Source organism: Homo sapiens, chromosome 16 (genome assembly GCF_000001405.40).
Source record: "Homo sapiens chromosome 16, GRCh38.p14 Primary Assembly".
Taxonomy (NCBI): domain Eukaryota; kingdom Metazoa; phylum Chordata; class Mammalia; order Primates; family Hominidae; genus Homo; species Homo sapiens.
In genome coordinates this window covers 87874011-87901390 of record NC_000016.10, presented here as the reverse complement: position 1 = coordinate 87901390, position 27380 = coordinate 87874011, and the positions used below count along the sequence as shown (strand labels likewise).

The window sequence follows — 27380 nt, the reverse complement described above, 5'->3', positions numbered from 1 at the left end:
CTGGGACCCTGTTTCCTCCTCCATAAAATAAGGGTGTTGAGCTCAACAGAAGTTCCCAAAATTCAGCCATGCAGGCGAGATCCTGAAGACGTTTGACATATCTGCCTGCCAATGGGACAACTTTCTACTGAATATTTTTCTTTTCTTTTCTTTTTTATTTTTTCGAGGAGTCTCCCTCTGTCACTCAGGCTGGAATGCAGTGGCGCGATCTTGGCTCACTGCAACCTCCGCCTCCCGGGTTCAAGCAATTCTCTTGCCTCAGCCTCCCATGCGGCTGGGACAATAGGTGTGCGCCACCATACCCAGCTAATTTTTGTATTTTTAGTAGAGACGGGGTTTCACCATGTTGGCCAGGCTGGCTGGTCTCAAACTGCTGACTTCAGGTGATCCGCCCGCCTTGGCGTCCCAAGGTGCTGGGATTACAGGCGTGAATCACCGCGCCCAGCCTAGTTAATATTTTTCTTTAAATTGATTAGCTCGAAAAATTTTTAGCCTTGTCCTGGGTGATGGTATTCACTAATGATAAAGTTTGTTTTAAAACAGATTGAAACAAAAACCTCAAATCCCTAACTAATAACATTTAAGAATGTTGACTCATGTACCACCCAGCACTCTCCTTGAACGTCCCTGTCCGACCCCAAGCCCAAGGGCGGAGAGAAACCTGCCCAAACCGCAGCTCTCCGCCCAGCGATCCATAGGCTTCCCTGTATCCAGCGCAGCTCGAAAAGATGGTGGGGACAACAGTGTCGCCTTTCTCCAAGATCAGCTGAGAAAAGGCTTTGAGGGAGAAGGAGAAATTCCAAAGAAATGTAGTTTATTTATTCAGCAGCATACAAAAGAATTCCAGGGCAGAAGGAGTCAACGCAAGCCTCACATGTGCGGACGGATGAGGCTTCAACCTGTGTTAACAATGGTGGAGGCTGGTCCAGATGGAGCTGGGACCAGCCCTTCCTCGCGGTTCAAGGAGACGTTTGATCTGTACGTGGCCTTCGCCTTGATGCTGGCTTCGGGGTGGCCTCCTGGGACTGGGACCAGATCACCCCCTGCCGCCCCATCTGCCTGCTCAGGAACTTCACAAGGCCACGGTTCTGAGAGCTCTGACGCCCCATCCTCTTCCTCCACGCGGCTCCACAGCCAGAGGAAACCTGGGCAGGGGTTGTTTTCCCAGCCAGCCTCCACCTCCCACACCAGGTGGTCCCACCTCTTGGTGGGAAAGAAAAGAGCTGATTGTGAAGGACCCTTTACCCAAGGGCTGTTTTCCTCCCGGGGAAGGTTCTGGAGCATTTCTTCTCCATGGGGTAAGTCAGAATTTTCTAGGCAAACCACAGGGGAGGAATGATGCCCGGGACAGGGGAGGAAGTGCCACCGCGGACTGAGCTCTGGTCCTGATGCTGATCTCTGGGCTCATCCCCTCAGCTGAAAATAAAGAGTTAGACTCTTTTTTTTTTTTTTTTTTTTTTTTTTTTTTTTTGAGATAAAATCTCGCTCTGTTGCCCAGGCTGGAGTGCAATGGTGCGACCTCGGCTCACTGCAACCTCCGCCTTCCAGGTTCAAGTGATTCTCCTGCCTCAACCTCATGAGTAGCTGGAAGTACCGGCGCCCACCACCATGCCTGGCTAATTTTTGTATTTTTAGTAGAGACGGGATTTCACCATGTTGGCCAGGCTGGTGTCAAACTCCTGACCTCAAGTGATCTGCCCACCTTGGCCTCCCAAATTGCTGGGATTACCGGCGTGAACCACCGCACCTGGCCGAGTTAGACCTTTGAGAAATTAAAAGACCTTAAGAGGCTGGGTGCGGTGGCTCACGCCTGTAATCCTAGCACTTTGGGAGGCCAAGGCGGGCTTATCACTTGAGGTCAGGTGTTCAAAACCAGCCTGGCCAACATGATAAAACCTCATCTCTACTAAAAATACAAAAATTAGCCAGGCGTGGTGGCGGGTGCCTGTAATCCCAGCTACTCAGGAGGCTGAGGCAGGAGAATTGCTTGAATCTGGGCGGTGGAGGTTGCAGTGAGCTCAGATTGTGCCACTACACTCCAGGCCGAGTGACACAGCGAGACTCATCTCAAAAAAAAAAAAAAAAAAAAAAAAAAGACCTTAGGAGGTAAAAGGCCCAGCCTTGGGAGCAAGAGTCTGTGCTTCATGGGCCAGGGAATGGGAAGAGACTTGAACAACTCTCTCGCCTAGAGGCTCCTAGCCTAGGACTTCTGGGAGCTTCTCCCATAGCACAGTGTATCAGAGAGCCCCACAGTTGGACTCCTGGGTTCAGAGCCCAGATCCACCACTCCTGAGCTGCGCACCTCTGAGCCTCAGCTTCCTCGCCTGTGAAATGGAGATATTAAACATCCACAGTAGCCCAGGTATGGTGGCTCACACATGTAACCCCAGCACTTAGGGAGACTGAGGTGAATAGATCACCTGAGGTCAGGAGTTCAAGACCAGCCTGGCCAACATGGCAAAACCCCGTCTCTACTAAAAATACAAAAATTAGCTGGGTATCGTGGCACACTCCTGTAATCCCAGCTACTCAGGAGGCTGAGGCAGGAGAATCGCTTGAACCCAGGAGACGGAGGTTGCAGTGAGCCGAGATCGTGCCACTGCACTCCAGTCTGGGTGACAGCTCGAGAATCCGTCTCCAAAAAAAAAAAAAAAAAAAAAATCCACACTAGAGCAGCATTCTCACCATGTAATGGAATAAGGAGCATGTCTGGTTCTTGGTGAAATGTGCAGTTGAGTTTAAGGCCCAGCTGTGGCCAACACTCACACACTCAAGTCTGCTGTGGAAGGCACAGGCTGCTGCTGCCCGTCACGAAACGAAAATCCACCAGCCCAATCACTAAGGTTAAAATCGCTTTTTGTTGCTGCGGGTGCTTTCTGTCAGGTGATTCCCAGAGAGAGCTATTACCTTCTGGGAGCCCATGAAATTTTAGAATGATGGCCTTGTGATGGAAAATGCTAGAAGTGTGGTTGAATCTAATTCCTGATTGGTGGGCAGTGCAGGGCAGGACAGGGCCATGGTGGCCTCAGGCTCAAGGGCAGATGGCCTTGGCTTCAAATCCCAGCTCTGCCACTCCCCCGCGGACTCAGCAGTTCTCACCCAGGGACGGGCTCACCTGCAGCTTCTGGGCTGCTTTCCTGGTTTCCTCCAGTTAAGGAACAAGTTGTCCTGAATTAGGGCAGGAAAGACCAGAGTCACGTAGTCCCCATCATCTCTCCTGGTTCCAGGCTGGTCCGGGCCCTGCTGTGGGACTGACTCGGCAGAGACCCTCCAGGAATGCCTGCCACGGTCACTCCCTGGGGACCCAGCTGGCTTCTATGCAGTGCTCAGGGCTCCAAGGGTGCATTTCCAGAAAGAGCCAGATGGACACGATGTCCTTTTCTGCCCTGGCTTCCAGAGTCACAAAGCACTGCTCCTGCGGCATCCTGTTTACCACTCCCGTCAGGAGCACCTGCCCAGGCTCAGGGCAAGGGGACATCACCCTACACCTCGGCGGAAGGGGTTCAAAGAAGCGACAGCCCTCCACATAAATTATCACACTGAATCTTCCAATCACTCCACGGGGCAGGGCCTGTGATTCATCTGTCTTGCACACACAGGAAAACCAAAGCTCAGAGAGGCAGAGAAGGCCTTGCCCGAGCACACAGCTGGCAGGTGAAGAGCCCGTTTTTAAACCCAGGAAGTGGGTCCACGCAGCCTGAAGTCCCAGTCATCCTGGCGCCCACCTCCCGCATGCAGTCAGAACCCAGGCTGAGCTCCAGCCCCTGCTGCACATTTCTGAGCTTTTCAGCAGCTTAGAGGGAAACACAGGCAGTGTCTGTAACCAAAACCACATCAGGCGCTGCCTGGAAGCCTGGACCCCCACCCCCACCCCCAGCACCATCCCATCTGCACAGGCCCCTACCAGTGCCGACCTGTCACTATGCACTCAGCTCCCAGCACGCAGGCACAGCCCCAGTGTGGTCCTGGTGACCCCGGGCAGACAATTCCAGAATGGAGACCTCAAGGCTTCGCCTTTGACCCTCTCACCATAGCCAGAAGTTTTGGCAAAAACTGCCCACAGAGGGTCCCCACCCTCCATGCCTGGACAAGCCGCAAGCTCCTCAGGCTGCTGGGGTCCCCCCTCCTCCCTGCCTTCGCAACAGTCAGAGCTACCGGGGAATTGGCTGCCTTGTGGAGGTGGAAACAGCCCACCAGGTCCAGGGGATCCAGGGAACGGCTCTGTGCCCTGTGGGGGCTCTTCTAGCTTTGGCAGCAGCAGCGGCAGCACCTACTGAGCCCCACGCCCACGTGGCAGGCACTGATGGAAGCCCATTACCGCCACCACACTGCCTGTCGTACACCTGGGGAAACTGAGACTCTAAGAGGACAAAGCAAGGGCGGAGTTAGGCTGGGTGGGGCTTGACGCTCATAAAATGTGGGGTCCTGTTTAAGAGAAAGAAGACAAAACCAGGAACAGAGCGTGGCTCACGCCTATAATCCCAGCACTGTGGGAGGCTGAGGCGGGCGGATCACCTGAGGTCAGGAGTTTGAGACGAGCCTGACCAACATAGAGAAACCCCATCTCTATTAAAAACAGAAAAGTAGCCAGGCGTGATGGCGCATGCGTGTAATCCCAGCTACTAGGGAGGCTAAGGCAGGAGAATCGCTTGAACCTGGGCGGTGGAGGTTGTGGTGAGCCGAGATCGTGCCATTGCACTCCAGCCTGAGCAACAAGAGTGAAACTCTGTCTCAAAAACAATAAATAAATAAAAGAAAAGTGGAACAAGTCACCAACCCACTTCCACCAGCAAAGGCTTGTGGTGCTTTCCACAGGTAGCTGGGCCATCCGTGCTCAGATAATGGATGTGATGGTCTTCAGCCTCATTGGTGTGCTCACCGGTGTCCCATTCTAGCTGCCTGAGGATCACCACATGCATAAAGGAAGGGCCCTGATTTGCTTTGGGGGCCCTGAGGGGGAGCAGTTTTCTGTAACCACATGGCTGCTCCAGCCCTCATGCATCTTAGAGACAGGACAGGAACTCCTGGGGACGATGAGGCAACACACAGGCATCCTCTTCTCAGCCCAAGGCAGAAAGCTTAATTGGCAAGAAACCTACCCGCAGTGGCATGGCTGGAGCCTGCCACTCCCCTGACTGATTCCTGCAGCCTTGGGGAGGGAAGGAAGAGCCCGCACCTCGGAACGGGCCAGGCCTCAGTGGCCCTGACTGGCAACGTGGCTTTGGGCAAGTTTTTTATATCTGTCTGTCTATCTTCATCAGTAAACTAGAAATACTTCTCAAAGGGTTGTTCTGAAGATTTGAAGTAGTTGCTCAGAAAGTGACTGGCACATCTGTGCCCTGGGGATGTGTGGCAGGCAGGAGGAGACGGACGTCTCACTGCACACCCGCCTGTTACCCACGTGCACCAGACTGATGTCTCACTGCACACCCGCCTGTTACCCACATGCACAAGCAGTCTGCTCCTTCACAGCCCAGCTAGAGCGTGCAATGGGATGTCAACCCAGCTAGACCATGCAGTGAGATATTACTTGGCAATCAGAAAGGACACAGCTCTAACTCATGCTGCGGTGTGGGTGAGCCTCAAAAGCGCCGTGCTGAGTGAGAGACACAAGACACAAATGTTCCACATGTTACATGACTCAGTTCCTATGAAACCCACAGAGACAGAAGCAGCAGGGCGGGGGTGGGGACCATAGCTAAAAAGTACCAAGCTTCCCCCTTGAGGTGGAAGTTCTAAAATTGACTTGGGATGGCTGCACAACTGTGAATATACCCAAAACCATAGAACTGTACCCTTCAATTTTTATTTACTTTTTTTGTTTTTTGTTTTTTGTTTTCTTTTTGAGATGGAGTTTCACTCTTGTTGCCCAGGCTGGAGTGCAATGGCATGAGCTCAGCTCACTGCAACCTCTGCCTCCCGGGTTTAAGTGATTCTCCTGCCTCAGCCTCCCGAGTAGCTGGGATTACAGGCATGCGCCACCACGCCTGGCTAATTTTGTATTTTTAGTAGAGACATGGTTTCGCCATGTTGGTCAGGCTGGTCTCGAACTCCTGACCTCAGGTGATCCATCCGCCTCGGCCTCCCAAAGTGCTGGGATTACAGGCGTGAGCCACCGTGCCCAGCCTATTTACTTATTTTAAGAAAGGATCTCACTCCGTCACCGAGGCTAGAGTGCAGTGGTATGATCACAGCTCACTGCAGCCTCAACCTCCGGGGCTCAAGCCATCCTCCCACCTCAGCCTCCCAACTACCTGGGACCACAGGCGTGCACCACTGCACCTGGCTAGTTTTTGTATTTTTTGTAGAGTCAGGGTCTCGTTATGTTGCTTAGGCTGGTCTCAAACTCCTGGCCTCAAGCAGTCCTCCCACATCGGCCTCCCAAAGTGCTGGGATTACAGACATGATCCATTGCGCCCAACCAGGCTGTACACTTTAGATGGGAGAGTTGCATGGTATGTGAATTCTATCACAATAATGCTGTGGGTTTTGCTGCTGCTGCTGTTGTTTGAGACAGAGTCTCTCTCTCTGTTGCCCAGGCTGGAGTGCAATGGTGCCATCTCGGCTCACTGCAACCTCTGCATCCTGTGCCAAAGCAGTTCCTGTGTCTCAGTCTCCCGAGCAGCTGCGATGACAGGCACCTGCCACCATGCCTGGCTAATTTTTGTATTTTTAGTAGAGATGGGGTTTCGCCATGTTGGTCAGGCTGGTCTTGAACTCCTGACTTCAGGTGATCTGCCTGCCTTGGCCTCCCAAAATGCTGCGATTACAGGCATGAGCCACTGTGCCCAGCCTATAATGCTGTTTTTTTTTTTTTAATTAACTGGATAATTATAAACGTGAACATGCGTGCATAGAACTGATGCATGTGTCTGCCAGTGTGGACACTCCCGGGCTTCCTTCTGGTAGCTCAGCCACCTCTCTTGACCCTGACCCTCACTGCTTGATGTTAGGAGACAAGCCCAAGGCATCTGGGTTGCCAGCTTCCACCTTGGAAGGCCAGGGCCCAGCAAAGTCAAGGTGATGTGATGTGGCTGAGCAGGGAGGCCATCTTCCTTGCAGACAGGGACTCTGTCACTTTGGACTGGACTCTTGTCCCACAGTGCTGGCCAGGGGCAGGTGCAGAGCTATGCTTGGTTGGCATGGGACGCTGATGAGGGCTGTGTTGCGGCCAGGCCCAACCACCGTGAGCTGAGATCATGCCACGGCACTCCAGCCTGGAAGACAGAGTGAGACTCTGCCTCAAAAAAAATAAAAAAAATAAAAAGTTATAAATAGAACTACCCTATGATTCAGCAATCACACACTTCTGGGTATATATCCAAAAGAGCTGGCTGGGCACAGTGGCTTATGCCTGTAATCCCAATATTTTGAGAAGCCAAGGCAGGAGGATCGCTTGAGCCCAGGAGTTGGAGAACAGCTTGGGCAAGATGGCAAGACCCCCTGGCTACAAACAATTAATTTTAAACCCTGGTGTGGTGTCCTAGCTACTTGGGAAACTGAGGCGGGGGGATCGCTTGAGCCCAGGAATTAGAGCCTGCAGTGAGCTATGATGGCATCATTGCACTCCTGCCTGGGTGACAAAGTAAGACCCTGACTCTTTTTGTTTTTTGGCTGTGAGTGTATTCAATGCAAAATAATCCTCTCTGATTTTACTGAGGTAGCTGGCCATGTCCACGACCAAATCTGCCTTTAAACTGGAATTCGGTTGCTGACCCAGCCCGAGCCTCGGCTATCTTGTCGGCACCAGGGGCACAGCACTCCGTCTGTAGGTATGTCTGTCAGCTTCCCCTCTTGTGAGTCTTGCAGGTCGCCCACCCTCCAGACCTTTAGGCCGAGGCCTGCCAGTCCCTGGACGGCTGCAGCATAGGGTGGCAGGCACAGTTTCCAGGGACAGATGAAGGTAATCACGGAGATACTGGATGCCCTCATTGGTAAGGTAGCAGTAGAAATGTCTCCAGGCAAGCCGGGCGTGGTGGCTCACGCCTGTAATCCCAACACTTTGGGAGGCCGAGGTGGGCAGATCACGAGGTCAGGAGATCGAGACCATCCTGACTAATATGGTGAAACCCCGTCTCTACTAAAAATATAAAAAATTAGCTGGTCGCGATGGCGTGAAGATGTAGTCCCAGCTACTAGGGAGGCTGAGGCAGGAGGATCGCTGGAACCCAGGAAGCAGAGGCTGCAGTGAGCTGAGATCGCACCACTGCACTCCAGCCTGGAGACTCTGTCTGAAAAAAAAAAGAAAGAAAGAAAGAAAGAAAGGAAGAAAGAAAGAAATGTCTCTAGGCAAACTGTTCCTTCAGGCAGCCTCGGGGCTTGAGAGACTGCATGGCCTTCGTGACATGAAGGTTGGGCACATTCTTGTCTGCCATCTCCGGGTGCTTAGGCATGTGGACATCCTTCTTGGCCACCATGACTCCCTCCTTAAAAAGGAGCCCATAGGCCGGGCACAGTGGCTCACCCCAGCACTTTGGGAGGCCAAGGCGGGTGGATCATCCGAGGTCAGGAGTTCAAGACCAGCCTGGCTAACATGGTGAGACCCTGTCTCTACTAAAAATACAAAAATTAGCTGGGCGTGGTGGCAGGCGCTGGAGGCTGAGGCAGGAGAATCGCTTGAACCTGGGAGGCAGAGGTTGCGGTGAGCCAAGATCACACCATTGCACTCCAGCCTGGGCAACAAGAGCAAAACTCCATCTCGAAAAAAAAAAAAAAAAGGTTAAGATGGTAAATTTTATGTTATGTATATTTTATCACAATAAAAAGTAATATTTTTTGCAGCCAAGGTATGCTAAAAGAAATGGCTTTATTTTTATTTTTATTATTAATTAATTTATTATTATTATTATTATTATTATTATTATTATTATTATTATTATTTGAGACAGAGTCTCACTCTGTTGCCCAGGCTGGAGTGCAGTGGCATGATCTCGGCTCACTGCAACCTCTGCCTCCTGGGCTCAAGCGATTCTCCTGCCTCAGCCTCCTGAGTAGCTGGGACTACAGGCGCCCACCACCACATCTGGATAATTTTTGTATTTTTAGTAGAGACAGGGTTTCACCACGTTGACCAGGCTGGTCTCGAACTCCTGACCTCAAGTGATGCACCCGCCTCGGCCTCCCAAAGTGCTGAGATTACAGGGGTGAGCTACTGCGCCCCAAGAAATGACTTCAAAAGGAAAAATGTGAGCACCAACGTAAGCTGGTGTAATGTAACGTAATTCCCACCAATGTAAGTTGGCAGGAATCCTTGCTCTGTATAGAAGGGTCACATTTTCTCATCACTGCTTGCAAGTGTGACAGCAGTGGCCTCATGGCCTTATCTGGGGGAAAGCACTTCCTTCCAAGCACCATGAAGGCCTCACGTGCTGAGACAAGATGGAAGCTCCTAGTCTCCCCTGAGGACTGACACGTCCTGTGCTTCTCGGTCTCTCAGGACGCGCGGGCGGCCATGCGCCCCTTCGACCCCTCCACTCTGCTGCCCACCTGCTGGGATTACTGGACCTACGCGGGCTCGCTCACCACCCCGCCGCTGACCGAGTCGGTCACCTGGATCATCCAGAAGGAGCCCGTTGAAGTGGCCCCAAGCCAGGTGAGCCGTGCCCGTAACTGGCACGATGGCGCTTCATGGAAGGCGTCCCTCTTGCTTGGCAGCGTCACTAAGATGCTGCATGAGAGCGTTGTGGAGTTATATATATTCTTTCATGCATTTGGGGCATTCTTACACAAGAAGAAAATTCCAACTGAAGTAGGAGCTTGTTGAGATTGGACAGCGGTTCCAGTGATCACAGCAAGCATGTCCTGAGCAACGCCCTAATCTATCACACACAGACACACGAGGCATCCATGGGAGTTGTCCCAGGGTCATGGGTCTGCATGGTTTTTGTTTTCTTCCTTTTTCTTTTCTTTCCTTTTTTTTTTTTGAGACAGAGTCTCGTTCTATCGCCCAGGCTGGAGTGCAGTGGTGCGATCTCGGCTCACTACAACCTCCACCTCCTGGGTTCAAGCGATTCTCCTGCCTCAGCCTCCCAAATAGCTGGGATTACAGGCACCCATCACCACGCCTGGCTAATTTTTGTATTTTTAGTAGAGACGGAGTTTCACCATGTTGGCCAGGCTGGTCTTGAACTCTTGACCTCAGGTGATCTGCCCACCTTGGCCTCCCAAAGCGCTGGGATTCCAGGCATAAGCCACCGAGCCCGGCCTCCTTTTTCTTATCTAAATAGTTTCATTGCTTTTTTTTTTTTCGAAAATTAATTAATAATATTTGTATACACTTTTTAAAGTTATACTCTTGGGCTGGGCGTCATGGCTCATGCCCATAATTTTAGGACTTAAAGAGGCCAAGGCAGCCAGATCACTTGAGGCCAGGAGTTCGAGACCAGCCTGACCAACATGGTGAAACCCCGTCTCTACTAAATCTACAAAATTAGCCAGGCGTGGTGGTGCATGCCTGTAATATCAGCTACTTGGGAGGCTGGGGCAAGAGAATAACTTGAAGCCGGGAGGCAGAGGCTGCAGTGAGCTGAGATCACGCCACTGCACTCCAGCCTGGACAACAAGAGCAAAACTCCATCTCAAATAAATAAATAAATAAAAATACAAAAATTAGCCAGGCATGGTGGCGTTTGCCTGTAATCCCAGCTACTTGGGAGGCTGAGGTAGGAGAATCACTTGAACCTGGAAGGCGGAGGTTGCAGTGAGCTGAGATGGCACCACTGCACTCCAACCTGGGTGACAGAGTGACACTCTGCCTCAAAAAAATAAAATAAAAAATAAATAAAAGTTATACTATCATTTTTTTCTGGAAATCTTAAGAATCTGTAGCAATTCTGTCTGTCCAAGGCAGTTCAGAGCCACAGACGTGCTGCCTATGCCCCGCCCCCGCCCGGCAGACGTTTCTCAGCAGTCGCAGCGCGACTTAGCATCTCTGGCTCATCTCTTTCCGAGGGCTCCAGGTGAGCTCTTAGAGGGTCTTTCAGTCTCCCGGGCCTGTGAAAATATTCCCTTATATACAAACGGGGAAGGCTTTTGTTGAAGGTGGCCCCTTGTCAGCAAGGCCCTTATGCCACTCAACAAGCATATATGTGACAAGTGCCCATTCTGGGTCTGTGCCACCAAGAGAGGGTGGGAGGGGGGCAGGTGTGGAGGGGCGGTACAGGAACAGGGCATTCGTCTCAGAACACTGCTGTATGGCAGGAAAGTAGAAACGAAGCCAATAGTATTAAGCCAGGGTGGCCGGTGTCATATAAAAATGCAGGGCAGGAGCCCCTTATCCTGAGCAGGGGAGCCAGGGAGGCACATGTCCTGGAAGGCGGGGAGTTTTCCAGGGGAGGAGAAAGGCTGCACAGTCAACAAATGTGCAGACCACAAATGTGGATGAGCACACCGTGGTCACGGCCCAGGAGGCCACGTGCACCATGCGCGCAACTCTAGGGGGCGCTGCATCATCACGCAGGGCTAACTGGACCAGTATGCTGTCAGCATGTAGACATAATCTCACTTCTGAATGTAATCAAATGCGTGAGTTGCCTCACAGGGTTCATAAGTATATTCTGTGAACAAGTGAGATAATACATAAAAAGTCTTTTTTTATTTTTTATTTTATTATTTTTTTTTGAGATGGAGTTTCCCTCTTCTTGCCCGGGCTGGAGTGCAATGGCGTGATCTCGCTCACCACAAGCTCCGCCTCCCAGGTTAAAGAGCTTCTCCTGCCTCACCCTCCCAAGTAGCTGGATTACAAGCATGAGCCACCACACCTGGCTAATTTTGTATTTTTAGTAGAAACAGGGTTTCTCCATGTTGGCCAGGCTGGTCTCAAACTCCTGACCTCAGGTGATTCACCCACCTCGGCCTCCCAAAGTGCTGGGATTACAGGCGTGAGGCACCACATCCAGCCATAAAAAGTAGTCTTTTAGTTCCTTCAGTGAAAAGTAAATTCAAATGTTACTTTAGCATTTACATTATAGGTGTTAGTTATCTATTGCTGTGTAACAAATAGCTCCAAAACATAGTGGCTTTAGAAAACAATCATTTGAGCCGGGTGCAGTAGCTCATGCCTGTAATCCCAGCACTTTGGGGGCCTAGGCAAGTCGATCACCTGAGGTCAGGAGTTCAAGACCAGCCTGACCAACATGGTGAAACCCTGTCTCTACTAAAAATACAAAATTAGGCCTAGCACAGTGGCTAAACGCCTATAATCCCAGTACTTTGGGAGGCCGAGGCAGGTGGATAACCTGAGGTCAGGAGTTTGAGAGCAGCCTGACCAACATGGAGAAACCCCATCTCTACTAAAAATACAAAATTAACTGGGCATGGTGGTGCATGCCTGTAAGCCCAGCTACTCAGGAGGCTGAGGCAGGAGAATCCCTTGAACCCAGGAGGCAGAAGTTGCGGTGAGCAAAGATCACACCATTGCACTCCAGTCTGGGCAACAGGAGCGAAACTCCATCTCAAAAAAAAAAAAAAAAATTAGCCGGGCGTGGTGGCTTGTGCCTGTAATTCCAACTACTCAGGAGGCCGAGGCAGGAGAATCGCTTGAACCTGGGAGGCGGAGGTTGCAGCGAGCTGAGATCTCGCCAATGACACTCCAGCCTGGGAAACAAGAGCGAAACACTGTCTCAAACAACAACAACAAAAACCAATCATTTATTATCTCCCATAGTTTCCTTGGGTTGTGAATTTGGGTGGCTCTGGCTTACCATCTTTCATGAATTGTAGCCCAGTGTCAGCTGGGACTGTAGCAATCTGAAAGCTCAACTAGGGCTAGAGGATTCATTCCAAGGTTGGCCCTCTCGAGTAGCTAGCAAGTTGGTGCTGGCAGTTCGCTGGGAGCCTCAGTTCCTCTCCCTATGGGCCTCTCCTCGGGGCTGCTTGAGTACCCTCCCAATATGGCGACCAGCTTCCCCCCAGAGCAAGTGATCCTAAAGACCAAGGCGGAAGCGGCAATGCCTTTTATAATCTGGCCCTGCACACACCATCACTTCCACCATATTTATTGATCATTTCGGGCCATCCTGATTCAGCATGGGAGGGGACCACATAAGGCCTGAGGGACACCCAGAGGCTGGCTCACCCTGCACTCATACCAAGCTCACCCTGGCTGCCCTCTATTCCAGCTCTCTGCATTTCGTACTCTCCTGTTTTCTGCACTTGGTGAAGAGGAGAAGATGATGGTGAACAACTATCGCCCACTTCAACCCTTGATGAACCGGAAGGTCTGGGCGTCCTTCCAGGCCACTAATGAGGGCACAAGGTCCTAGAGACATTAGGTCCACATGAATAGCAGAACTGACTTTGAAGGAAGGAAGCGTTGTTTCCCAAGTTTCACAATGTGATTGTACATGACTTCTGAAATTAAAAAGAGAGCATGAGGTTATTGTTTTAGTCGAAGTACTTTTCAGCTGCAAGTGAAAGAAAGATGTGTAAGTACCGTGGGGAACATAACGCTGGGATGGAGGGGTGTGCCATGGCACCCAACGCAAGTGCAGGGTGCTTAGTTTCACTGTAACGAAGTACCACAAACTTGGTGGATTAAAACAATGGAGATTGATTCTCTTACGGTTCAGTGAGCCAGAAGCCCGACACCAAGGTGTCCTCACGGCTGCTTCCTTCTGAGGCTCTAGGGCAGGATCTTTTTCCTTGCCTTTCCAGCTTCTGCCTCCTCCTTGTAAGAACTGGCGGGGTGCATTGCCTCATGCCTTTAATCCCAGCACTTTGGGAGGCCGAGGCGGGCGGATCACGAGGTCAGGAGATCGAGACCATCCTGGCCAACACGGTGAAACCCCATCTCTATAAAAAACACAAAAATTAGCTGGGTGTGGTGCTGCATGTCTGTAATCCCAGCTACTTGGGAGGCTGAGGCAGAAGAATTGCTTGAACCCGGGAGGCAGAGGTTGCAGTGAGCCAAGATCACACTATTGCACTCCAGCGTGGGCAACAAGAGCAAAACTCTGTCTCAAAGTAAAAAGGAATTCTTGTGAGGCCAGGCACCGTGGTTCACGCCTGTAATCCCAGCACTTTGGGAGGCCAAGGCAGGCAGATCACTTGAGGTCAGGAGTTTGAGACCAGCCTGGCCAACATGGTGAAACCCCGTCTCTACCAAAAATACAACCAAAAATAATCTGGCAGGATAAAACCAGAAAACATACACAATTTGATGTCAAGACCTACTTCAAAAGCTGTAGTAGGCCAGGTGCAGTGGCTCATGCCTGTAATCCCAGCACTTTGGGAGGCCGAGGCGGGAAGACCACCTGAGGTCAGAAGTTCGACACCAGCCTGACCAACATGGCGAAACCCCGTCTCTGCTAAAAATACAAAAATGAGCTAGGTGTGGTGGCTCATGCCTGTAATCCCAGCTACTCAGGAGACTGAGGCAGGAGAATCGCTTGAACCCGGGAGGCAGAGCTTGCAGTGAGCCGAGATCATGCCACTGCACTCCAGCCAGGGTGACAGAGCGAGACTCCATCTCAAAATAAATAAATAAATAAAAATAAAAAGCTATATTAATTAAGATAATGTGGTACCTGTCAGAGAAGGACAAATCAACCAATGAAAAAGAATAGCGTGTCTAGAAGGTTCCACACATTTGTGATCCCTGACTCATGCTGTAGGGAATGGATGGGCTCTTCTGTGAATAGTTTTGGATCATTTGGATATCTATTGATTGATCTATCTATTGATTGATCGATCAATTCATCAGTCGATCCATGGGGTCTCACTATGTTGCCCAGGTTGGTCCTGAACTCCTGGGCTCCAATAGTTCTCCTGCCTTGACCTCCCAAAGTGCTGGGATTACAGGCATTAGCCACCCCACCGAGCCAACGGGATATCCAAATGGGGAACCATGAATCTTTTTTCTCACCATACCTCACACCCCTACCTCACAGCACACACAAAAATTAATTCCTGACAGATTATAGATCTAAACAGGAAAGGTAAAACAATAAAGCTCCTAAAAAATAACAGGAGCTGGGCGCTGTGGCTCACGCCTGTAAACCCAGCACTTTCGGAGGCCAAGTTCCAGACTAGCCTGACCAACATGGAGAAACCCCATCTCTACTAAAAATACAAAATTAGCCGAGCTTGGTGGTGCATGCCTGTAATCCCAGCTACTCGGGAGGCTGAGGCAGGAGAATTGCTTGAACCCGTGAGGCGGAGGTTGTAGTGAGCCGAGATCGCGCCATTGCATTCCAGCCTGGGAAACAAGAGCGAAACTTTGTCTCAAAAAAAAAAAAAAAAAAAAAAACTTGATCCAGAACTCAATGTTGGGTCTGAGTGTGGCTTTTCTGTCTCTCTTTCATGATGTTGTCTCTCTCGGCAAGCTCATTCTTTTGGAGGAAAGAGAGCTACCACTCGTGCCAGGATGGTTTCCATTAATTCATGTAACATTTATTGAGTGCCAATTACGTGGCAGGCTCTATTCTAGACTCTGGGGACGGAGCCTAGACTGTTTAAGGTCTGAAGAGCCTTTGCCTCGGAGCTCACATTCTGATGGAAGGAGGTAGACCATGATGCATCCACACAGAAAGTCTGGAGTGGTAAGTCACAGGAAGAGGACATGGCTGGGTGGGGAGGTCTCTTCTACAGGGGCCATTTGGGCAGAGACCAAAGGAGGAGTGAACCACGTGGCTACCCAAGGGCAGAGAATTCCAGGCAGAGGCTGGAGGCAGGAGCGCCCTTCTGGTGTTCAAGGTGCAGCCCGAGGGTGAGGGCAGCCAAGTGCAGGGGTGAGGAGAGAGGCATGGGAGGCAAGGGTGGGTACTGGGGCCCCACAGGCTGGGTGGAGACTTTGGAGCTGCTGCTGGGTTCTGAGCAAAGGGCATTTTCAAGTGGAGAGGCTCAGTTCGGCTGTGCTGCCAAAGAGTTTTCCAAAGTGGTCATTCCTGTCCTTGCCAGCAGGTCATTGTGTGCTTTCTGGAGGGTGTGCCCAGGTGTCTCCTGTGGATTTAATTTGCACTTCCCTAATGATTCATGACGTGGAGCACTTTGTGCAGATTCATTGGCCGTCTGCATATCCTCTTTCACCAGATACCTGCTTGAGCCATTTGCCCATTTTTCTCTTGGGCTGTCTGTGGTTTTCTTATTGATTTTTAGGAGTTCTTTATATATTCCAATTATAAGGCCTTTGTCCATTTTACAAATCTCTTCTCCCACTCTGGGGCTGCCTTTCACCCTCTTTTTTTTGTTGTTGTTGTTGTTTTGTTTTGTTTTGTTTTGTTTTGTTTTTGAGATGGAGTCTTGCTTTGTCACCCAGGCTGGAGTGCAGTGGCGCAATCTTGGCTCACTGCAACCTTCACCTCCCGGGTTCAGGTGATTCTCCTGCCTCAGCCTCACAAGTAGCTGGGATTACAGGCATACACCACCGTGCCTGGCTAATTTTGTATTTTTAGTAGAGACGGGGTTTCTCCATGTTGGTCAGGCTGGTCTCGATCTCCCGACCTCAGGTGATCCGCCTGCCTCGTCCTCCCAAACTGCTGAGATTACTGGCATGAGTCACTGAGTCGGGTCTGGATCAAGCTTATAGCAATGGTTGCACCTGATCAGTTACACAAGCCAATAGGTGCCCTTTCATGTAAGCCAGTTTGGGTTTCTTTTTACCTATTACTTGCTTGGAAAAAATCCAAAATCAGTACAGTGTTTTTCTTTTCCTTTTTTTTAGATGGAGTGTAGCTCTGTTGCCCAGGCTAGAGTGCAATGTCACGATCTCAGCTCACTGCAACCTCTGCCTCCCGGGTTCAAACAATTCTCCTGCCTCAGCCTCCGGAGTAGCTGGGATTACAGGTGCCCGCCACCACGCCCAGCGAATTTTTTTTTTTTTTTTTGAGACAGAGTTTTGCTCTTGTCGCCTAGGCTGGAGTGCATTGATGCGATCTTGGTTCACCACAACCTCTGCCTCCCAGGTTCAAGTGATTCTCCTGCCTCAGCCTCCCAATTAGCTGAGATTACAGGCATGGGCCACCACGCCTGGCTAATTTTGTATTTTTACGAGAGACGGGGTTTCTCCATGTTGGTCAGGCTGGTCTCAAACTCTCAACCTCAGGTGATCTGCCCGCCTCAGCCTCCCAAAGTGCTGGGATTACAGACGCGAGCCACTGTGCCCAGTCTTTTTTTTTTTTTTTTTTTTTTTTGCATTTTTAGTAGAGATTCGGTTTCACCATGTTGGTCAGGCTGGTCTCGAACTCCTGACCTCAGGTGATCTGCCTACCTTGGCCCCCCAAAGTGCTGGGATTACAGGCATGAGCCACCGCGCCTGGCCCAGTATTTTTATTTTCATAGCATTAAAAAATATTCCCGCCAGAAGAGAGAAAGTTTTACAATAAACCTAATTACATTATCTTCCAACATTACCTTACAGTCAGATGAGCACAGAAAAATAAGCAGATGCTAATCTGTTTCCCAAGGTGATAAAGGCCATTTCATTCCGGGGAGATAAAGAATAAGTAGGTTAGGTCAGGCGCGGTGGCTCACGCCTGCAATCCCAGCACTTTGGGAGGCTGAGGTGGGCAGATCACCTGAGGTCAGGAGTTCGAGACCAGCCTGGGCAAAACGGTGAAGCCCCGTCTCTACTAAAAAAAAATGCAAAAAATTCGCTGGGCGTGGTGGCAGGCACCTGTAATCCCAGCTACTTGGGAGGCTGAGGCAGGAGAATTGCTTGAACCCAGGATGCAGACGTTGCAATGAGCCAAGATTGTGCCACTGCACTCCAGTCTGGGCAACAGAGCGAGACTCCGCCTCCAAAAAAAAAAAAATACGAAAAGTAGGCCGGGTGCGGTGGCTCACGCCTGTAATCCCAGCACTTTGGAAGGCTGAGGCAGGTAGATCATGAGGTCAGGAGATCAAGACCATCCTGGCTAACACGGTGAAACCCCGTCTCTACTAAAAATACAAAAAACTAGCCGGGTGTGCTGGTGTGTACCTGTAGTCCCAGCGACTCGGGAGACTGAGGCAGGGAGAATTGCTTGAACCCAGGAGGTGGAGGTTTCAGTGAGCCGAGATCGTGCCACTGTACTCCAGCCTGGGCAACAGAGTGAGACTCCATCTCAAAAAGAAAAAAAAAAAAAAACTAAGGCTAGGCGCGGTGGCTCACGCCTGTAATCCCAGCACTTTGGAAGGCTGAGGTGGGCAGATCATGAGGTCAGGAGTTTGAGACGAGCCTGGGCAATATTGTGAAACCCTGTCTCTTCTAAAAATACAAAGAAAAATCAGCCGGGCGTGTTGGCACGCACCTATAATCCCAGCTACTGTGGAGGCTGAGGCAGGAGAATTGCTTGAACCTGGGAGGCAGAGCTTGCAGTGAGCCGAGATGGTGGCCACCGCACTCCAGCCTGGGCGACAGAGCGAGACTCCGTCTCAAAACAAAACAAAACAAAATCTAGCCAGAAATCGCTTGAACCCAGGAGGTGGAGGTCGCAGTGAGCTGAGATTGTGCCACTGCCCTCTAGCCTGGGCAACAGAGTGAGACTCCACCCCTCCACGCCCCCCCAAAATAAAGCGTCTGGCTCTTTAAAGGAGATCACACTTGGTGGCGATGCGGGTGAAAGAGGATTGGGTTGAAGGAGTCGAAGTGGAAGCGGGAAAGCACCAAGCGGGGAAATGGGCACGTTTCTGTTCTGCTCTAAGCTGCTGCGCCTGACTTCGATTCCATCGATCAAGAGGAGTCTGCTGAAGGACAGGGTGTACGGCTGCCTCGCCCGCTCCTGAACCAGGCCCGGGTGAAGTGTGTTGTGCACATTCAGCAGCTCCAGCCCCGCTGTGGGTCGCACTGACATGTTGGGCCCAGCCCACGCCCCAGAAGCTCGCAGCGCCGTTGGTCTGGGGAATGGTGTTTTAGGAAAAACTCCCGAAGTGACAGGATGGTGTCGTTGGGCGTAAGGGCCACGGCACTCCCATTGAGTTGCGACAAGTTCCACAAAATCGTCCCTGGTTTTTAATAAGGAAACTGAGGCTCACTTGAGAAGTTAAGAAAGTTGTCGCTGACCCGCTAGGCCAAGGGATACGCAGCATTTCACTCTTGCCTTCTCTGATTTGTGCAATCAGTCAAGGAAAAAGCGCAGCAAAGAGAGAAAGTCCTGAACCTTAAAACCCAGGAGAAAACTTATCCTACAATGCCGGGCAGTTCACGCTGATGGAAGCAGCAGCCAGAGGAAGGCACTTGTCTGGGCTTCCTGCAGCGCTCTGAGAACAGCCCGCTCCTCTGCTGGGGAAGGGGTGACACAGTCAATGGAGGGGGTGGTCTCTGAACCTGGGGCTTGGGATGGGGGCAGAGAGCAGCTATTCAGCCATTCTCCATGGGCTGCCCATTTCCAGGTGGGCTTGGGGACAGAGAAAGGCCCAAGCGGCCAGAGGGGCCCTGGGCTCCAGTTCTACCGGCCCCATGTTGACATCGTGTCCAACAAGACACCAAGAGAAGCAGGGAGTGGCTGACCTTCATTTTCCGTATCAACACACAGGGGGCCCTCTGCACCCACCAACATCTTTGTCTCCTGAAAAATGGCCTTTGTCAGTTATTTTTAAAAACTGGTGCTAATCCTGAGACACGGAGATACTCCCGGGAAGCCATCCGAGCCTGGACACACTGAGATGAAACCACAAACACGCCGAGAGGAAAAGACATTGATTCCAGCCCTCAAAGCAACGGGACAAAAAACAAACAGGAGGCTTCCCTCCCGCCCCAGGGGCAGCGGCCGGTGTCTGCGGCTCTGCGGGAAGGGCTCTCACTGTGACCAGATTGTGGCTTCTGATTGTATTGTAGAATTTCTGGCCCAGCTTTTAAGGTTCAAGGCTTCCTCCCTTTGCTTTTATCTTATTTTCTTGTTTAATAAAGATACGCCTGTGTGAGAAGCATTGCCTGTTCCCAGCTGCCACCGCCTCCTCCTCCTCCGCTTCCTCCCCATCCCCAGCACGTCCTTCCCATCGACCCTCTAGAGAACCAAGCTCAATTCAGAGCAGACCATGTGCCCAGCTACATCCCCTCAGCCTTGCCCCCTTGGGACAGAATCCACATTCCTGCCCCTCCGCCCCCGCCCTCTCCTGGCAGCCCACTCTGTGCCGACCAGAATATCGGCCCCCTCCCACCCCAGGGCTCTTGTGGCTGTTCTGATGGACCTGAGGGCACCCTTCCCCGCCCGCCCCATACCACCTGCTCAACACCTGCTCCTCCTGTTTCCTCGGCCTGAGCTGAGCCCCCAGATGGCACCTGGCACACAGCGGTGCCCAGCAGTAACGGAGTGTCTGCTCCATTACTCCGTTAACGGAGCAGTAAGTGTCATTTTTTGACACTTGTCCCTCCTGCTGAAAGGTGGGCTGTCCGTGCACTGCTGCGTCCCCAACTCTGTGCCCACCAACCCCGTCTTGATAAATGGTTCCTCCATCCACCCGACGCCACAGGCAATCTCGGGAGCCCCCTTGGGACCTCCTCTCCCCTCACTCCTTGCACCCAGGGCAGCAGCAGGCTCTGCTGGAGGACCCTCAAACTGCCGCCTATTCCAAGTCTGTCCACTTTTCTCTGTCCCTTCTGCTGCAGCCTGAGTGACAAGCTGGCCTTCCAGTTTAGCCACTTTCTTTCCAGCCTCTTCCCCTCTTCCCCCAAATCCATTTTTCTTTTAACAGTGGGTTTTTTTGAGAAACCGACACTTGGCCATTCTGCTGCCCTGTTCAAAACTGAGGCTTTCCACTAGGCTTGGGAATGAGCACGAGCTTCTCCCAGCAAGATTCGCAGCCTGGCCCTCTTCCACGTCACCTTGTGTGTGTGGGCCTCTGGCTGGGGTTGCTGTCCCCAAGGCTGCTTCACAGTCACTCCTTTCCATCCTCAACCAGTTCTCAGACACCTGCCCCAACCACGGTCTCCCTGTGTCCCCTCCCCAGCTGTTGGCATCAGGCACGTGTTGCTGCATGATGCTTGCATCCCCCTCTGGAATGTGAGCCCCCAGGGGCGGGATCCTCAACTGTTCTGCTTGCCCACAGCACACAATAAACGTGGTCGGGCGCCATGGGCTGCAGTGCTCCCACTTGTAAGCTCGGGGACTGCTGTGCGCTGCCGCAGGTCCTCTAGGCGCTGCTCCCTCTCCTGGGCTGTCCTCCCTGCTCTGCTAGATGCACTTTCTCCTCTCTGCCAAGGCCCAGCGCAGCCCCTCCTCTCCACCACACCTTCGTCAGTGCCAGCCCCAGGCAGCAGCATCCCCTCCCCCCGCACCTGGGCTCCTGCACATCCCCTGTTATCACAGGGGTGCACATGAAAGGGTCACCCGCAGGCTGGGGTGTCATACGGACACACATTCTCACAAAGCCAGGCGTATGTCTAGCTATCGTGAAATGTTTGCTGAGTCAATGAATGAATTGCAGGATACTAGATGGATCTGGCTACAAATATTTAGAAACTACCTTAAATCTGGGTAACTGGGGGCTGTCATCATTGAGAAGTCTAGACAAAATGAGTGACAGGGAGCAGGTGTGATCAGACATGGAGCAGACATGGATCACACATGGAACAGACATGGCTCACACATGGAACAGACACAGTTCACACATGGAACAGACACAGTTCACACATGGAGCAGCATGGACCATACATGGAACAGACACAGATCACACATGGAACAGACACGGTTCACACATGGAGCAGCATGGATCTCACATGGAATAGACACGGTTCACACATGGAAGAGCATGGATCACACATGGAGCAGACATGGTTCACACATGGAAAAGACATGGTTCACATGTGGAGCAGCATGGATCACACATGGAACAGACACGGTTCACACATGGAACAGACATGGTTCACACATGGAACAGACATGGTTCACACATGGAACAGACATGGTTCCCACATGGAGCAGCATGGATCACACATGGAGCAGCATGAATCACACATGGAACAGACACGGTTCACACATGGAACAGACACGGTTCACACATGGAACAGACATGGTTCACACATGGAACAGACATGGTTCCCACATGGAGCAGCATGGATCACACACGGAGCAGCATGAATCACACATGGAACAGACATGGTTCACACATGGAGCAGCATGGAACACATATGGAGCAGCATGGATCACACATGGAACAGACACAGTTCACACATGGAACAGACACGGTTCACACATGGAACAGACACAGTTCACACATGGAGCAGGCACCACGCACGCATGCCGTAGCACGCATCAGCCTGGTTTTCGGGCTCACGCGATAGAAGTCATTGTTTTGGTGGTAAACAATATCCACCTGGATATTTTCCAAGATGGAGAACTGAATTATAACCTACAAACTTCCATCCTCACAGGGAAATTTGACCTGGTTGGGTGGCATCTGCCCTGCAGCCACTGCCCAAAACAGAGGCGGGGCAAAGTGGCCGAAGAGAGCAGCGCTGAAGCTGGCAGCTGCAAAGAGTGCAGGGCCCTCCAGGCTCTACAAAATTCACAGCTGCTTCCAGCCTCATGCTGGGACATGGGCTGAGCAATGAATTCTTCTTGTAATCCAGGGCAGAGTGGAAGAAAGTTCAAGGTGAGCGTCAACTCATTCAATCACTTAACAATAGGCAGGTTTGGCTCATAGTGCAGAGGCCCAGCAGGAGAACCTGGCTCCCGTGTCTCTGGAAATGTTAGAATGCCTGTCAACAGGAAAAAAAGATCTGTCTCTGCCATCCTGAAGGTAAGTTTGCCACCTACAGCACTAAAGATTAAGGCCATATTTTTTCAATGTTGAGATTATTCCCTTTGTCCGCAAACAGGGGCTTAAGACAACAGCCCTTTTGTTCTCTCACAGTCCTGGAGGCCAGAGGCCAACTTCAAGGTGGTGGCAGGGCCAGGCTCCCTCGGGAGGCTCCAGGACCCCTCCTGCCTCTTCCAGCTTCTGGGGGCTACAGGTGTCCCTTGACTCAGGGCCGCCCACTCCCATCCCCGCCTCCATCTTCACACTCCAGCCACTGAGACCACGCCCGACACAGCAAGTGTGGGCTGCTGCGACCGCTGTCCCTCCGTGTTCCCTTCGCCCACATTGGAAAGAAAGTCTGAGGGTGGAAGCCAGGCATTCGGCCGGCCCTGGGAGCACAGTTCTGCAGTGATGGCAACACCAGCAGCTCAGGGTCCTCCACCTGCTGGCCCCGGGAGCACAGTTCTGCAGTGAGGATGACACCAGCGGCTCAGGGTCCTCCATCCGCCAGCCCTGGGAGCACAGTTCTGCAGTGACAGGGACACAGCAGTACCTCAGGGTCCTCCACTGGCTGGTCTTGGGAGCACAGTTCTGCAGTGATGGCAATGCCAGCGGCTCAGGGTCTTCTACCTGCTGGTCCCCAGGAGGCAGGCACAGGTGTCTCCCTGCTTCACAGAAGAGGAAACTGAGACTTCGAAAGCTGAGCCGAGTCACTCGCCTGGTGCCACCAAGTGGTAGAGGTGAGATGTGAACCCAGGACCGTTCGATTCCAGGCCTGAACTGCTTTTATCTTTTGGATGTATAGTTCACACATAACATCACATTAACCGTTAGTCATTTAAACACGTACAAATCCGTGGTGTTTAAGTCACTCCCAGTGTTGGGCAACCATCCCCATCATCTAGTTCCAAGACATTTTATCACCCCAAAGAGAGACCCCATCCACTCAGCCCTCACTCTCCATCACCCCTTCCCCCCGCCCTAAGCAGCCACGAATCTCGTCCATCTCTCTGGATCCGCCTGTCCTGGACATTCGTGCACTCGGAATCATACAACTCGTGGTCACTGACCCTTTCACGCAGCCCAGTGTTTTCAGGGGTCCTGCACGTTGCAGCGTGTCTTCCTGTGTGCGGCTGAATGACGCTCCAAGGGATGGCGGACTACACTGGGTTTATCCATCATCCACGGATGGACGGGCCTGAACTCTGACCCCGGCTCCTACTGTTGCTTCCATGTCATCTTTTTTTTTTTTTTTTCAAGACCAGTCTCGCCAGGCGCGGTGGCTCAAGCCTGTAATCCCAGCACTTTGGGAGGCCGAGGAGGGTGGATCACGAGGTCAGGAGATCAAGACCATCCTGGCTAACACGGTGAAACCCCGTCTCTACTAAAAATACAAAAAATTAGCCAGGCATGGTGGCGGGCACCTGTAGTCCCAGCTACTCAGGAGGCTGAAGCAGGAGAATGGCGTGAACCCGGGAGGCAGAGTTTGCAGTGAGCCGAGATCGCGCCACTGCACTCCAGCCTGGGTGACAGAGCGAGACTCCGTCTCAAAAAAAAAAAAAGACCGGTCTCGCTCTGTCGCCTAGGCTGGAGTGCAGTGGCATGATCTCAGCTCACAGCAGCCTCAACCTTCCTGATCTCAGGTGATCCTTCTACCTCAGCCTCCCCGGCAGCTGGAACTACAGGTGCACCACCACCACGCTGGGCTAGTTTTTGTATTTTTTGTAGAGACGGGGTCTCCCTATGTTGTCCAGGCTGGTCTTGAACTCCTGGGCTCAAGAAATTCTCCCACCTTGGTCTCCCAAAGGGCTGGCATTACAGGCATGAGCCACAGCGCCCAGCCTCCAAGTCATCTTTGACACGCAGAGCACATCTGAGAGCAGCAACAAGACTAACGTTGGGGCCAAAGTTAAGAAGTGGGGCGGAGCCTCCCTGGTGGCCGGTCATCAGCCCAGTGCCTGAAATGCATGCAAAGTCTATTTTTATTTTACCTAGTTGAACCTAAGCAAAAAATCTGGCCCTACAATCCCTAACCTTGCTCCTAGCTGTTACTGAGCAATCGCAGGGCTTCGGATTTTACTTGCAGGCATGGACACTGTTTACCGTTCCCCCATACGAACTTCAGGAAACGGGTGGGGGGACTACCCAAGTGTTCAAACAGAAGCTAGAAGGATTCGGTGAAGGAAAGTCATGAGTGTCTTTTCTTTAACAAGAATGGTGGATGTTTCCAGTGAAGAGGCAATGAGGCTTTCAAGGTGCCACCAGGGGCAGCTGAAATGAAGTTCTCTTTTTTTTGTTGTTAGATGGATTCTCAGTGTGTTGCCCAGGCTGGAGTGCAGTGGCACAATCTTGGCTCACTGCAACCTCTGCCTGCTGGGTTCAAGCAATTCTCCTGCCTCAGCCTCCCGAGTAGCTGGGATTACAGGTGCCTGCCACTGCGCCAGGCTAATTTTTGTATTTTTGGTAGAGACGGAGTTTCACCATGTTGGCCAGGCTGGTCTTGAACTCTTGACCTTGTGATCTGCCCACCTCAGCCTCCCAAAGTGCTGGGATTACAGGCGTGAGCCACCGCCCCCGGCCAAAATTCTCTTTTAACTGGGAGAATCCGCATGCTTATGAATCTGGCTGCCTATGTAAGTGGCGCCATCAGCGTGGCAGTCAGCATTGCCACGAGGATTAAAGGCCTGCCCTGGGTCTGAAGCTGGGCTTGGCCACTTACTGAACTGCCCTTTTTCTCCAACCATAAATGACAACTAACTATAGTTGCTGCAAAAATTAAATGGCATAGAGAGTGTGAAAGGAACATAAATCCTGGGACCCCACACTTGCTAACGAAAGGGAAAAGTGAAGCTGGTGACCGTGTCATGGGAACCAGCCTCCTGTTTCGGCTCCTAATTATTTAACAAACAGCTACAGAGATGAAAAGTTTGGCTGGGCTTGGTGGCTCACCCCTGTAATCCCAGCACTTTGGGAGGCCAAGGCGGGTGGATCACTTGAGGTTAGGAATTCCAGACCCGCCTGGCCAACATGATGAAACCCCGTCCCTACTAAAACTGCAAAACTTAGCCGGGCATGGTGGCAGGCGCCTGTAATCCCAGCTACTTGGGAGACTGAGGCAGAAGAATCAGTTGAACCCGGGAGGCAGAGGTTGCAGTGAGCTGAGATCGACCCACTACACTCCAGCCTGGTGACAGAGTGAGACTCCGTCTCAAAAAAAAAAAAAAAAAAAGATGAAAAGCGACACACCTCCCTCACATTTTGCCCATAAGGAAATTCCTTGTGGGCTCCAAGATCTTTACCCTAAGCGCTTCTGTTAAAGTTCACCCTGGCAATGTGAACCGTTAGCTTATCTTCACAGGTGCTGGGACGAGGGGCAGAACTGAGTCATCCCTCCGCCCACCTGAAGCAAATGCATATCTCATTGTTTCCGCTGCCCTATCGTCTAGGGTATCTTACGTGAAACGGCAGAGTCACTAAACCAGACAAAAACTTGAATTTTCCCCTACCCCCTTCACATGAAAATTGTGTACTGCCCAATATCCTGCCCTTCCCCCTTTCAATATTGAAGCCCTCAAAATCATCTTCGGAGAAAGGCATAGACCAGTCTCTCAGGTGCGCGTCCCTAATGTTGGCATTTAAAGCTAAAATGACGGAGACTTGCCTCGGTCGTCTTCCTTGACTGGCAAGAGTCTTTAAGGCCGAACACTGACTGAGTGGCTGCCCTACACACCTATCTGCCTGGAAACAGAACGGAATTTCTGATCGTACTCAGGGCAGCCCCACCTTGTCAAGCATGCAGATAGGAAAAGCTCACCTCTGAGCATAATAAAAGCATGGCTTTCAAAAACAACCTCCAGAAGAAGCAAGGACCCTTGCTATGTTAAAAGATGCAGGCATTTCTCCCCTGTGACTGAGAACCAGCCCGGCAGGGGACTCACAGGAGAGAGGCGGCCCCAGGAAGCCCCACTTCAATTAAGGGTTGTGAAGCCAGCAAATCTGAGACAGGCCTCCTTTAATTTAGAAAGCGTATTTTGCTAAGGTTGAGGGCGCACCCGTGACACAGCCTCGGGAGGTCCGGACCGCATGTGCCCAAGGTGGTTGGGGTGCAGCTTGGTCTTATACATTTTAAGGAGACATGAGACATCAATCAAGTACATTTAAAAAATACATTGGTTTGGTTCAGAAAGGCGGGACAACTCAAAGCAGGAGGGGGGCTTCCAGGCTAGAGGTAAATGTAAACATTTTCTTTTTTTTTTTTTTTGAGACAAGAGTTTCGCTCTTCCACCCAGGCTGGAGTGCAGTGGCACAATCTTGGTTCACTGCAACCTCTGCCTTCTGGTTTCAAGCGATTCTCTTGCCTCAGCCTCCCATTACAGGCGGTGCACCAACACGCCCAGCTGATGTTTATATATATATATGTGTGTGTATATATATGTGTGTGTGTGTATATATATGTGTATATATGTGTATATATACGTATATATGTATATATGTGTATATACATATATGTATATATATGTGTGTATATATGTGTATATATATGTGTGTATATATGTGTATATATGTGTGTATATATATGTGTGTATATATATATATATATATATATATATTTTTTTTTTGAGACGGAGTCTCGCTTTGTCACCCAGGCTGGAGTGCAGTGGTGCGATCTCCCGTCACTGCAACCTCCGCCTCCCACGTTCATGCCATTCTCCTGCCTCAGCCTC

The 27380-nt window shown here is 51.4% G+C and overlaps 1 protein-coding gene across 6 annotated transcripts in view, besides 5 other annotated features; it reads left to right on the top strand.

Moving 5' to 3' along the window:
• Positions 1–19842, top strand: part of CA5A (carbonic anhydrase 5A) — a 54981-nt gene extending 35139 nt beyond the window's left edge. For 2 of the 6 annotated variants that reach the window (NR_159799.1, NM_001739.2), the window contains 2 exons: positions 9437–9592; positions 13119–13378. Coding sequence is in view for 3 of the 6 variants with exons in the window: in NM_001739.2 (NP_001730.1) it covers positions 9437–9592; positions 13119–13262 (300 nt within the window). In the remaining 3 variants the exon portion in view is untranslated. Of the gene's footprint in view, positions 1–826; positions 1415–7664; positions 7773–9436; positions 9593–13118; positions 13379–19451 lie in introns of those variants that run through there. The other 4 variants (NR_159798.1, NM_001367225.1, XM_047434595.1 and 1 more) reach the window with 4 other exon arrangements.
• Positions 2857–3556: an enhancer, noted in NCBI's record as "H3K4me1 hESC enhancer chr16:87931441-87932140 (GRCh37/hg19 assembly coordinates)". NCBI's record gives its function as "activates a minimal SCP1, AML or CMV promoter by ChIP-STARR-seq in naive H9 embryonic stem cells {active_cell/tissue: H9 hESC(naive)}" and the evidence as "EXISTENCE:reporter gene assay evidence [ECO:0000049][PMID:30033119]".
• Positions 21805–22444: an enhancer, noted in NCBI's record as "NANOG-H3K4me1 hESC enhancer chr16:87912553-87913192 (GRCh37/hg19 assembly coordinates)". NCBI's record gives its function as "activates a minimal SCP1, AML or CMV promoter by ChIP-STARR-seq in naive H9 embryonic stem cells {active_cell/tissue: H9 hESC(naive)}" and the evidence as "EXISTENCE:reporter gene assay evidence [ECO:0000049][PMID:30033119]".
• Positions 22445–23086: an enhancer, noted in NCBI's record as "NANOG-H3K4me1 hESC enhancer chr16:87911911-87912552 (GRCh37/hg19 assembly coordinates)". NCBI's record gives its function as "activates a minimal SCP1, AML or CMV promoter by ChIP-STARR-seq in naive H9 embryonic stem cells {active_cell/tissue: H9 hESC(naive)}" and the evidence as "EXISTENCE:reporter gene assay evidence [ECO:0000049][PMID:30033119]".
• Positions 23087–23728: an enhancer, noted in NCBI's record as "H3K4me1 hESC enhancer chr16:87911269-87911910 (GRCh37/hg19 assembly coordinates)". NCBI's record gives its function as "activates a minimal SCP1, AML or CMV promoter by ChIP-STARR-seq in naive H9 embryonic stem cells {active_cell/tissue: H9 hESC(naive)}" and the evidence as "EXISTENCE:reporter gene assay evidence [ECO:0000049][PMID:30033119]".
• Positions 24870–25397: an enhancer, noted in NCBI's record as "H3K27ac-H3K4me1 hESC enhancer chr16:87909600-87910127 (GRCh37/hg19 assembly coordinates)". NCBI's record gives its function as "activates a minimal SCP1, AML or CMV promoter by ChIP-STARR-seq in naive H9 embryonic stem cells {active_cell/tissue: H9 hESC(naive)}" and the evidence as "EXISTENCE:reporter gene assay evidence [ECO:0000049][PMID:30033119]".